The 13,511-nt window shown below is 42.6% G+C and overlaps 1 protein-coding gene across 6 annotated transcripts in view; it reads left to right on the top strand.

Moving 5' to 3' along the window:
* PRKN (parkin RBR E3 ubiquitin protein ligase) overlaps positions 1 to 13,511 on the top strand; it is a 1,380,350-nt gene that overhangs the window by 1,261,612 nt on the left and 105,227 nt on the right. The window lies entirely within an intron of this gene.

Here is a 13,511-nt window from a genome sequence, read left to right as displayed (position 1 = left end):
TAGAGTTAATAATGTTGTATTGTGTACTTGAAATGTGCTAAGACTAGGTCTTAAGTGTCCTCCCCACACAGACACACACACACACACACACAAAGATAACTATGTGTGGTGATAGAAGTGTTGATTAATTTGATTGTAATTATTACATAGTGTATACAGATATCAAGTCATTATTTTGTATGTGTTGAATATATGATTATTATTTATCAATTATACCTAATAAAGCTGGAGAGAAAGGAAACACAAAGTGAAAAAAAGTAATAAACATAGACCAGAGTATCCAAGATCTGGTGAATATCAAACACTGTGTAATTGGAATCCAAGAAGAAAAAGAAAGAGAATGGGCCAGAAGAAATATTTGAAAAGATAATGGTGAAAACTTTTCCAAAACTGATGGAAAACATCAAATTAAATACCCAAAAAGCACAGTGAATCTTAAGCAGTAGCGGTACAAAGAAAACAATGTGTTAAAACAAATTGCAGTCAAAATGCTGAAAACACAAGATAAGGAGATAATGTTAAGAGCTGCCAGAGGGAACCTCATTGTATGGAGAGCACGGTGATAAGAGTGAGGGCTGACTTCTCCATCAAAAACAATGGAAGCCAGAAAACAATGGAATGATATGGAAAGAAAAAAGTATACTAAAATTCCATGTCTAGTAAAAAAAAAAAAATCCCCAAAAGAAAGGCCCCCAAAAATAACATTTTCAGATGACAAAAGCTGACAGAATCCATCAGACTTGTACTGCATGAAATACTAAAATCACGTCTGCAGGTTGAAAGGATATGAAGTGAAGCCCAGATCTGTACGAAGGAATGAGGAACATCAGAACGTATAAAAATGTAGGTCAGCTCCAAGATGATTTTTTAAAATCCCAATGTTAAGAAGTCATCATTATTACCAAAAGAAGCAAGCCAGAAAGCATGTCGCCTTTCAAAAAGAACTAGAGCAGTAAGCAAACACTGAGGCAGAAAGGCCTAAAGCAGGTCCTGCATGGGCCAGTCTCGACGGTATGAAAGAAGACTCACCGTCTAGACTGCTGTCTCTGTCGCTGCGACTTTTTGCATACTCCAAGCTGCAAGAGTCAGTGATTGAAGGGCTTTCTAACCTCTGCAGCTCACCTGGAGAGGATCGCAGCCTATCGCTTTTGTTGACCACAAGGACCTGAGCTCTGCAGAAGCAGTTGTCACCTCCTTGAAGAGCTAAGGCTTCCAAGGAGATATTTTGTGGGTCGAACTGGCTAAGCAAAGGGGAGCAAGTGACCCAGCAAGCAACAGGTGGGGAAGCCAAGGTGGAGGAACTTGTGTATTGCCTGATGGTTTTACCTGACATTTGACTAATTCGTTTCACTGGGGATTCATAAGAGACCTTAGGGGCCTGTATGTCAGAATTTGAGGTGTGACTTACTTTGGAGCCCTTCAAGGCATTATTTAATTATTTGGTAATTCATTTTTCTATTTGTCTGCTAATGAACATGAGTTTACACTTTCTGAGAAATTACCAATACCAAGACTGTAGTTACACAAAGAAGTTCAATGATTTCCTTAGGCTAGGTGGGCATAGGATGGTGTTGACTGCAGATGGGCGTGAGAAAACCTTTTTCAGAACATGGAAAGGTTATAAAATACATCCTGATTGTAGTGGTGCATATATTGCCAAAACTCATCAAAGTATACAATTAAAACTGACATATTTCATATTATATAAATGATATATAGATGAAGTTTCTTTAAAAAAGAAAATCTGAGATTCAAAGTTTCCAGGAATGAAATGTGACTTCCATAGGAATTGGCCAACTCCATCAGTTTTCCCAATCCAATCCCTGGCTTGAGAAAGTACCAGCTGGGCATGGTGGCCCACGCCTGTAATTCCAGCACTTTGGGAGGCTGAGGTAGGCAGATTACCTGAGGTCGGGAGTATAAGACCAGCCTGACCAACATGGAGAAACCCTGTCTCTACTAAAAATACAAAATTAGCTGGACGTGGTGGTACATGCCTGTAATCCCAGCTACTAAGGAGGCTGAGACAGGAGAATCTCTTGAACCCAGGAGGCGGATGTTGTGGTAAGCCAAGATTGCACCATTGCACTCCAGCCTGGGCAACAAGAGCAAAACTCTGAGCCAAGATCACACCATTGCACTTCAGCCTGGGCAACAAGAGCGAAACTCCTTCTCAAAAAAACAAAAACAAAAACAAAAACAAAAAAAACCCTAAAGGTCTCTGTATGTTGATGTCTACCATCCTAGCTCTATGGAGTACAGTATCTTAAATATAAGTGAATAATACTATAATATTGTGGGATAGTTGCAGGGCTTGGATTTAGGTGCTTCCAAAATTTGGATGGAAATGTTGGAAAAGTGATCACTAGATAAAGATTATACTTCCAAAGTGGACACTTGATCTTTACCACTGTGTATGCAGTTCTGATGTTGCTTTAGCTGGGGCTGAGTTTCAGCCAAGTCTTTCCAGCTTATAGTACATTGAATTTCTCATTCATGCTGAATCAAAACTTTGGCCTTTACCTGTAAAGTTTCAGTCCATGGGAACCAAGAAATGGGAATACTCCATATCTGGATATCAAGATGGTCAAAGAAAGCATCTGGTAGGTATAGTGTAGGTTGATGTAAAGATCCCTCCAACCTTGGTAGTTGATGCCCTCAGAAAAGTGCTGCCAGATCCCAAATGCATCCTGTCCAAAATCAAGGAGGGGCAGGATGATATGGCCAATTTCAGGATTTTTAATGTCTTCTTAGACTCAGTTGACCTCTGGAAAACATGATTCAAGAGCCAGTTAGGCAGGATCAGTAAGGATAAGCCAGGTAGAACCAAACAGTCGTCATTCTGAAAGCTGGGAAAGTTTTGGCATCCTTGGTAACAAGGGAGGAGGGGTCAGGAGAGGCACCAGCTGACAGTGAAGCTGACCTGGCAGTCACCTTCCAGAGGCCGTGCTGAATCTGGATGCCTCAGGAATTCTACTGGTGCCCCATGCCACCTTCTTCAATAATATATCACTGACCACTCCAGCCAGAAGGGCTCACACTGACCTTGGAACCCCTTGGTGCTCAGTCACCCATAATTCTCATTAGGTAGTTTTTTCTCTATTTAGTATTTATGTAAGTATTTATCTCTCTGACTTTCCTGTTGCTTCCAGTACATTGCAGTCTACTATACATAGAACTTCTGACATCTTCATGCCCCTATAGCCTACTGTAGTGCCTTGTTAATACTAAGTGCTCTACCAAACAAAAAAACTGAGTGAAGAAATCCTGAGGAAATAGAAAATATTATTGGCCTCAGACCTATTAAGCCAGTTTAGAACAAAAAAATCATGGATTATTTAAAGTATGCCAATTTTGGGATGAAAGTGTATTCTGTGTGTTTTTATTGCTACCGTTCTCCAGAGAAACAGGGTGATATTTTCCAGCTACAGAATGTTTTAGCAGCAATTCCCAACGAATTCAGCTTATTTTTCAGCAAGTTAACCTCTGTTAATGACATATTAAATTTTGATTTTTTTAATATGATCACCCTGGGGAGACATTCAAAGTAGACCTTTTAAAATAAGGGTGAGCTATATTGCTGATCAGACATCATGGTGTCATTTCACTTCAGAGAATATTTTTCCAGAAAGACACACATTTTAATGACTGGTCAAACATACTAACCATCTTATCTTTGCTTTGGGCCATATAACTAATTTAGCTAGTCATTAGCTTCAAGGTAATGGAAGAGCACGTTCTACAGTATTAACTGAATACCAAATCAGCTCCTAAAATACCTCTCCCTGTGGTATTTCGACTGAAAAATGCCAGCTTATGCCAGCTTATAAACCACAGATAGCTGGAAGTTCAGGTGATTCAGAATAAAAGCATGCTGTCTAGATAACATTGTTAGATGTAAATGATTCAGGCTCACTTTTGATCTGATCTCTCTAGATGGACTAGACTTTGGTCATATTGGAAGACAGTAGAGGCTAATATTGTGCAAAGATGAAAAGGATGAGACAAAGCATGTGTAGGTCCCTACCGTAGTGAGTCCCCGCTCATTGCAGGTGGCGGCATTTGGCACTGTTGACTGTTCCCTCCCCTGCTAGCTTGTGGGTGCCCTTCTCACCCACCTTTCCAGCCATCTTCCCCCACCATTGCCATCCTTCACAGCCCACATTGCAAGCTAGTCTTCCACCTGCCCTTTAACCGCTGTTATTTTCAAGGTGACCATCCTTGGTCCTCTCTTCAAGCCAAGCCCTCCCTCAGACCTTCTCGTGTATTTCTGCAGTTCTGACTGCCTATAGTTGATAGGCCCCAAGTCTGTGTCTCTAACTAGACCATTCTCTAGAGCTCCTGGATTATACTTCACATTGCCTACTGGATACCTCCATTTGGAATTTTCATAAGCATTTCAAATGTAAAATGTCAATATTTGAGCTCATTTTTCCACCTCTTCCCTCACCCACATGCAACCCTGTCCTGTCTCTTCTTACCTCGGTCCTTGCAATGAGTGGCACTTAGAATCCTCCGTGCATGTATTCCAGACCCTTTTATCTCCAGTGGCTGACTGATAACTGATTGATTCCAGAAGGCCAGTGATTCCTGCATCCACCTCCTCTTTCCTATTAACTCAGGGTCCCCACTCTTTACCTCAACTACTGGAACAACCTACACTCTTCCTGCCTTGAGTGTATTCCCCCTAGTAATCCATCCTTTATCCCCATACCATAAAATATGCTCATAACACCCCCCATAAAGTGATTCCCTAGAGCTTAAAAACCTCAGCTCCTTAAGACCATCTACTTTGTTTTCTGGACCCTCTGGCCTCATCTTCCACCTACCCTCCCTCTCCACCATCCCCCTCATCTCCAGCGACACCTTATACTTAACTCATGTTGAACCATTTCCGGGTCCGGAACTCACTGAGTACTTTTCAGACCTCCAGACCTTTGCACAGGCCGCTGCTTCCTCTGAGCCACTGGCTAGCAAAACTCTTTCTCTGTCCCTGAGGACAAACTTGACGTTCAGTTCTGTTTTCTGAAAAACTGATGCAGGTGGAATGTTTATGGGGTTAATAGACAGTAAGTACTTATGATAAAGATGACTCTTGGACCGGGCATGGTGGCTCACACCTGTAGTCCCAGTACTTTGGGAAGCCAAGGCAGGCAGATCATGAGGTCAGGTGATCAAGACCATCCTGGCCAACATGGTGAAACCCCGTCTCTGCTAAAAAAAAAAAAGAAAGAAAAATTAGCTGGGCGTGGTGGTGCGTACCTGTAGTCCCAGCTACTTGGGAGGCCGAGGCAGGAGAATTGCTTGAACCAGGGAGTCTGAGATTGCAGTGGGCCGAGATTGTGACACTGCACTCCAGCCTGGCGACAGAACGAGACTCCATCTGAAGAAAAAAAAAAAAAAGATAACTCTTGGTTGGTGTGTGGGATCTTGACAGGCAGGACTGTAAATGAACTATAAATACCTGGGAGAAGCCACAGCTGTGGACATCCCTGGAAGTCATGCTCACGGCGATGAAGTTGTGTCTTCTTCAGCTTGGCCTTGTGCCCCCGGAACTCCTGCCAGCACATGTGGCACCTGGGGCTTCTACCCCAGCATTGCTCCTTACCTACCAGCATGTCTCCTTCCCCAAACCCAAGTGATCACGGGGGTTCAGAGAAGTGTCCCCTGGCCCTTCCTGCTGATATGCTGCTTCTTGTCCTGTGTCCTTCTAAATGACTCCAATGCCAAGTATAGCCCATTATATTCCAGAGATCCTAAATGGATATTTGGGCCTGAGACTATCCAGAGGGAGTATGGCACCTCCTTTGCCCATTATTCCCAAGCAATATCTAACCCACTTTTCAAGATCTTGGTCAAAGGCACTCTCCTCTGTAAACACACGGTGCCCATCAACAAGAATTAAATAAAATAATCTTTTGTTGCAACCTCTGTGACATCCTAAAATAACACGGATTATATTCCTATTATAAACTTTGGTTGTATTACCACCAAAATCTGTCCTCTAAGCAGATGACTTATTGAGGGTAGGATCAATTGCTGTTTATATTTGTTCGTACTATTCCTGCACCATGCCTGCTTCACCCTGTGGGGACACATTAAAAGTTGAATGGTTGGATGAATGGATGGATGGATGGACTGATGGATGGATAGTTGAATTAAAGGAAAGAAGCATATGTGATTTGATGGATAAATAGATTTTTTTTTTTACAAAATATCAACAGCCATTTTCTTATCTAAATAAAATAATGTAAGCAGCACCAAGAAACCAACTTTCAATATAATAGTTTCTGCTGACCCATTTCTGGGCCAGAAATCTCCCATTAGGGGTAAGTCATTGAAAGCCTCTAAATTATGAAGAAGGAGACAAAGAGAAAACCAAATAACTGAACTGTTATAATTATAGCAAATGTTATGGTGGCACCAGTTAGCTAGTTTCCTAGGACCCTGGACAAATCTACATATAAGTGGAAACCTCTAAACAGCGATGAGAAAAACGGGAAAATAGCTTGCTTGTGAGGGAGTTCTAGGGCTGACAGCAGGATGGATCTCAGAGAAGCTGGGGCATCAGGAAGGCCTGCTACCCTGTGTGCCAGAAGCTCTAGGCATTCCTGTGAACAGATCCAGGGATTCAGGGAATTCCATCCTTCCCACTACTTTGCTCAGAACCAGGTCCCTGCACTCCACACTAAGAAATGGTGGCTCCATTTGTAAACAGGCCTCTGATTTATTTCAACATGTGCACAGCTTGGACTTTCTCAAAAGTAAACTAAAACCAAATGAATTACTTAATTCACACCATATTCTGGAATTAATAGTCACTTCAAGGGCATTTCTGAGAATGTTCTCATTCTTAAGAGAGAGACCACAGCATTTCCTTTAGGTTGCAGACTGGCAGGAAGAGAAGCCCACAAACACACTGACTGTCAAGTTCGATCAGGTTTCCACTGTAATTAACCTGGAGAACAAGTCTTACCTGAAAAATGGTGATCACTGAGGGCAGGTGCTAAGTACCACTTCTGAAAGTAGCTTCTTTTGGCTACTGGGCCACTAACAAGGCCCTGGCTGTCAGCAGACACTCTCTGAGGAAGGAAGTGCTTGTAGCTTTAGAAAGCTCAGCCTTGCCTTAAAATCCCTCCTGGATACTATCATGGTTTTCATTCCTGTCTTCCCTCCAGATAAGATGAAGGGATTTGAGGCTGTCCAAATAAAGATATGCACTTTAAAAAGAAAAAAAAAAACATGAAAATGGCTTCTGGTAATTATAAGGTTTAGACCAAGGATACTAGCAAGTCATAGTGACCATATGCTCTTCACTTTCCTAAAAATTTACGAATTTCTGGCAAAGTCAGTATTTCTCCATTGACAAGCTTGCCTACCCACAGCCTAACACATGCAGACTACAGAATTCCACAGACATGGAGTTACTGTCATGGTGAGCACGAAGCTAATAAATTTAGTGCCCATTGCTCTGTAGAAGAAAACAAACATATATTTTAAACACAAACTTTGAGCTTAATGGCTGAAATGTTTTTGTACCTTGGAAATGCTCCTTTGCTATTAAATCAAGGGTAATCATAGTTCATTTAAATGTAGGAAGGAAATAATTGATGTTTTCACATTACTGAGCATTTGGTTCAAACACTGGCTCTGCAGTAAACAGCATGCAGACATTTTAGGAGACAGGCAGCCGGCAGGAGGTAGACAGACGGCTGCCTCCACCGCGGCGAGGGCCAGGGAGCTGTGATAACGGCTTCCAGGTTTGCATCAGCTGCACTTATGGTCGATCACACCAGGCACCCGAGATGCTGGATGAAAGTGCTTCACAATTCCCCCTACTTAATAATTAAAATTTCAATCATATTCTCCAATAATGATCATGATTAAAGAATGACAACACGTTTCTGAAATCTGTAAGTGGCAGCAGAGACACCAGGCCTTCTTTAGCTCGATAAGCAGCTGCACTAAGATTTATTTATGTTCTGTCAAACCCAAAGGTTTTCTTAAAGGAGGCTACCCTTTTTCTTTCAAGCTAAAGGAATCTGAATGTACAAAGAGCTGTATTTCTCTTTTTCTTCTTATAAGTATTCCCATAACAGCTAGGATATTCTATTTTTCTTTCCAGAGTTTTGAGCAGCCCAAGTAAATCAGAAGGCGGTCATTGTCTGCATGACAGTTCAGCTTGTGTCCCATAAAAGCCCACAACCCTTGAAACACCAAATCACCTTTTCTGCAGGTCTTTTGATTATTGGCGTCCTTTTCCCAAAAAACTACAAAGGAAAGACAAAAGAAGGCCACTATTTCTTTAACTTACATGTGCGGTCATCTACAAAATGTTGGACTTCTTATCACACATGTTTTCATATTAAGAGTGTGGTAACACACACACAGGAAGTTGGTGGTTCCCATTCTCCCTATTTTCAGAACCAGTCTCTTCTCTAGAGACACGTTTGTACCTAACAGTAGATTTTCATATTCCTTGATTTTGCTTTCTGACCTTCTTGGAGTTTTCAGTAATGTATCTTCAGCCCTCAGATCACAGAGCATTCATTAATTCATTCATGCATCCATTCATCCTCCCATCCATCTATCCACACATTCAGCAGTCATGTCTTATCATTGTTCTAGGCACTGTACATAAATATAAACATGAATTTTGAGTTATTTATATGACATCCATGTATCCTTTCAGAATACAGTTGTATCATTGTAGGGCAATTAGAAGAGGTAATTTCTATTAAAGTAGTAGCTTTTTTATTTGATGTTTTCAGTAGAAATTACTAGAGTTCTCTATTCAGTAGGGATGCATTCAGAGTTAGTGTCAATATATTGTGTAAGTGGAGGAATCTTGAATAGTTGGATCCTGCATTGGCCCAGCTGCCCATCCTCCTTGCAAAGTGCTTAACAGAGACACATGTGTAGGAAAAGTAATGGAATGCATTATTATTAGCCTTGGCTTTATTACAAAATCTCATGGGTTTAACTTTGGTAAAACTGGGTGTACCGAGTGGAGAACTCCTGGACTCCAAAGAACCAAGCGGTCTGGAAGAGAGCCTTGCGTAGCGAAGACGCTCAGTGGATATTTGTTAAAGGAGGAAGTTGGACTATTCAGCCTTGCTCTCACACCGCCCTTCCACGCCCAAACCCAGGTCCTGAACTCAGCTCTCTGGTAGGACCACAGTGGAGGCAAAGGCTCTGAGAGGGCAAGTGTTTGGCTTCAAAGTCCAAGTACCACTCCAGGCCTCTTCCAGCTGCCACACTACCTCTGTTTGCCTAGGAGAAAAGGTTCCCTGAGCAATGAGACCATCTCTTCTCCTGAGGAAGCCCTGAGCTCTCTGGGCATGTGGGTGGAAGAGGAAGAGGAAGGGTCATGTGCATGTACCCCAGACCCTTTCACCCTCTGACCACCCATACAAAGCAGACCCAGGTCAGCATTCGCAAACCCAAAGAGCAGCTTTCTTTTGGTACAGTTCAGTGCCCTGTCCTTGATCCTCTTTATTCTTGGGCAGGATTCAAGCTGGTGATGTGGGAGATTATTAGTCAGGGTTCTCTAGAGGGACAGAACTAATTGGATAGATGAATATATGAAGGGGCATTTATTAAGGAGAATTGACTCACACGATCACAAGGAGAAGTCCCACAATAGACTGTCTGCAAGCTGAGGAGCAAGGAAGCCGGTCTGACTCCCAAAACCTCAAAAGTAGGGAAGCCGACAGTGCAGCCTTCAGTCTGTGGCCAAAGGCCTGAGAGCCCCTGGCAAACCACTGGTGTAGGTCCAAGAGTCCAAAAGCTGAAGAACTTGGAGTCTGATGTTCCAGGGCAGGAAGCTTTCAATGCGAGAGAAATTTGAAAGCCGGAAGACTCAGCCAGTCTAGGCCTTCCACACCCTTCTGCCTGCTTTTATCTTAGCTGCACTGGCAGCCGATTCAATTTCGCCCATCCTGACTGAGGGTGGGTCTGCCTCTCCCAGTCCCACTGACTCAAATGTTAATCTCCTTTGGCAACACCCTCACAGACACACCCAGGAACAATACTTTGCGTCCTTCAATCCAATCAAGTTGACACTCAATATTAACCATCACAACACAGGAGCCCTTTGCTTCCCCTAGAGGCCAACGTTCTCCTTAGGAAAACATTTTTTCATAGTGATTTTGAACTGGAAGAAACTATAAACACACATGGCCAGCCTTGAAATTCTTTTCAATATTTGTTTCTCTATAATATGTTGATATGAGTTAAAGTATGTGTATATGTATTTATTTGTATGCACCTAATTTTTTTTTTTTTTTTTTTGAGACGGAGTCTTGCTGTGTCGCCAGGCTGGAGTGCAGTGGCGCGATCTCAGCTCACCACAACCTCCGCCTCCCGGGTTCGAGAGATTCCCTTGCCTCAGCCTCCCAAGTAGCTGGGATTACAGACATGTGCCACCATACCTGGCTAATTTTTTGTATTTAGTAGAGATGGGGTTTCACCATGTTGGCCAAGATGGTCTCGGTCTCCTGACCTTGTGATCTGCCCGCGTCAGCCTCCCAAAGTGCTGGGATTACAGGCGTGAGCCCCTGCACCTGGCCTGCACCTAATATTTCTGTAACTTCATGGCACCAGGGACCGGATGTGATTTCCTCCACTAGAATAGCCTACACTGATAGGCCTCTATAAAAAAAGGAATGATTAGGATGCTTTCATTTGAAATTTTTCTACTCACTGGGTAGCATTTAGTAGGCTGATGTAAATAGCAAGTCATTCATGCAGCAAATATTTCTGCAGTGTTTTCTGCATGCTGGCCATTGTGCTGGGTGTTTAGAACACAGCGTGTCAGGCCGGGCGTGGTGGCTCACATCTGTAATCCCAGCACTTTAGGAGGCCGAGGCAGGTGGATCACAAGGTCAGGAGTTCAAGACCAGCCTGGCCAAGATTGTGAAACTCCGTCTCTACTAAAAATACAAAAATTAGTCGGGCATGGTGGCAGGCGCCTGTAATTCCAGCTACTCAGGAGGCTGAGGCAGGAGCATTGCTTGAACCCGGGGGGCAGAGGTTGCAGTGAGCCGAGATCATACCACTGCACTCCAGCCTGGGCGACAGAGTGAGACTCCATCTCAAAAAAAAAAAAAACACGTGTCAAATTAAACCAAACTGACAGTCCATCGTCTCAAGAAGTCTATGTTCTAATAGGAGAGACAGGATATGACAAATCTAGATGTAATATAATGTCTAGAGAAACCAGTGTTATGAAGAAAAATATAGCTGGGGAAGAAAAGACAGAGAAACTGAGACAACTGGGGGAGTGGAAGGATGACTTTAGACAGGCTAGATGGTTTTACTGGAGAGGTGATGTCTCAGCAGTGACCTAGATGAAGTTATGGACCAGAGAAAGTCACTCAGGAATCCAAGTTAAGTGCAATTGGCCTCCAGAAAGTAGTCAACCTAATGGGACTTCAGTAGCCCTAATGGTGGGCTGGATTTCTCACACTGGCTTTGGTGCTTTTCAACCCACATATTCTAAATTTCAGTATAACTACAATGCTGGCGCAAAGTTCCCCCAAAATAAACTTGGGCTTGCTCCAAGAACTAACAGTTTCAAAACCCCAGATATTAAGAAACTTCCATGACTATCATTATCATTGAGTTAGAGAGCACACCAAAAGCATAGACCAAGCTTAGAACCTGGAACCTGGACTCAAGACCACGAATGAACTGCTGTTCCTCCTGCCTGGTTAAGGAAGGAATTGGAAAGGATTCCTCAAGCAGTCAAGGGTTTCCCAAAGCCACCCTAACCCCAGCCAGTGCCTTCTTCAAGAACTTCAGAGTATGGAGAATTACCCAAGGATCTAATAACGTGAGCCTGAGGTCTTTCTTTCACAGGACCTAGGATAACATGGAAAGTGAGCTCAAAAGACACAGGCTATGTGCCGTCAGTGCTAATGCCACCCCGACCTATAGAACCCATGCTGCCGTTCTGTGACCCAAGGGGACATCGCCAAAATGCTGCTGGCAACCCTAGCGAGTTGTGTACATTGTTACTTTTAGGTTTCCTTCCATCTCAGAAAGAAAGAAATAAAAAGAAACCATGTGTGGTCTGTGCTTGCTTGACAAATTAGTCTCTCAATGTATTTACTGACATCAGAATTTGCATTGCAGACACCAAGAAAACACTTCTGTTATATATTGTAGTAAAGAATAGTAATGCTCTTTTAGTTCCTCATCTCATTAAATAAAAAATAAGATACTAATCTTTCCCTCTGAAGAATTCAACTACCAACTGGTACATTACTGATTTTTCTATGTGAATAATGTGTATAGTAACAACTAGTATTCCCAGAAAGGGTAATCATAAAGTTAACTTTTTTTGAATTTGGGGAGAGGGGAAGGGGAGGGGAGGGGAGGGGAGGAGGAAAGGAAGGAAGGGAGGAAGGAAGGGAGGGAGGGAGGGAGGGAGGGATGGACCGACCGTTGTGCATTAGTTGGAGTTCTCTTTATTTCAAAGAATTGACTTACATAGCCATGGAGGCCCCCAAGTCTGAATCCTACAGGGCGGGCCAGAAGGTTGGGAACGGAGCAGGAGCTGATGTTGTAATCTTGAAACAGAATTTCTTCCTCTGAGAAACCTGTTAAGGCCTTTCAACTAAATGGATGAGGCCCGTTAAGATTATCAAGGGCAATCCCACTGATTGTAGATTTTAACCCCATCTACAACATACCTTCACCACAACACCCAGAGTAATGTTTGGTTAAAAAACCAGGTACTAGAGACAAGCCAAGGTGATAGAAAACACACGTTGTTTATCTACACAGGCAAGAGTCTGAGAAGTATCTGAAGGATTTAATAACACATGCACACACACACATTGTGGGAGTTTCTATAGCATGATGATTAAGAGTACGAAATGAGTGACAGAGCCACGACGTTAAGCCCAGGCAGTCTGACTCCCCGCCCTCCTAACTGCTACTCAGTACTGTTCACTGGTTCAAGGCTCAGGCCCTCATTGGCTATAAAGGATTGAATATTCCATTTTTTAAAAACTTTCATCAAATAGATTGTGGGAATGAATGGCCTTAGAATTTGCAACTATCAAAAATGGCTATGAGAGATATCAAAAATGCGATTGAATACACGAAGAATGTGTGTGGTCCTGTATAGACTTTGACAATACAGAATTTTATTAAGCCTGACGTGACCTTGAGATGGAAATATATTTATATCTTAAGAGCACAATAGTGCAAAATTCTGCCAAGTGACTTGAATGGAGGTATTTTATATATATATAAAATATATATGATATTAGAGAGAGAGAGAGAGAGAATTTGGATTTAAAGTCAAGGGCTCCCTGCCCCTCGCCTGTGGGTTATGGAATCATCACTATGGCAACTATAAATAGGGCTCCATGGAACCCACTTGGTCACCATGAAGAATCTAGTCAGCACCCCAGCTAAACGTTTTGATTATAACGCAACTACAAGCAAATTGAGAGGACAATCCCAAAAATAATACAGGAACATCACCTAAAATAGTT

Source organism: Homo sapiens, chromosome 6 (genome assembly GCF_000001405.40).
Source record: "Homo sapiens chromosome 6, GRCh38.p14 Primary Assembly".
Taxonomy (NCBI): Eukaryota; Metazoa; Chordata; class Mammalia; order Primates; family Hominidae; genus Homo; species Homo sapiens.
This window is presented reverse-complemented; position numbering and strand designations above follow the sequence as displayed.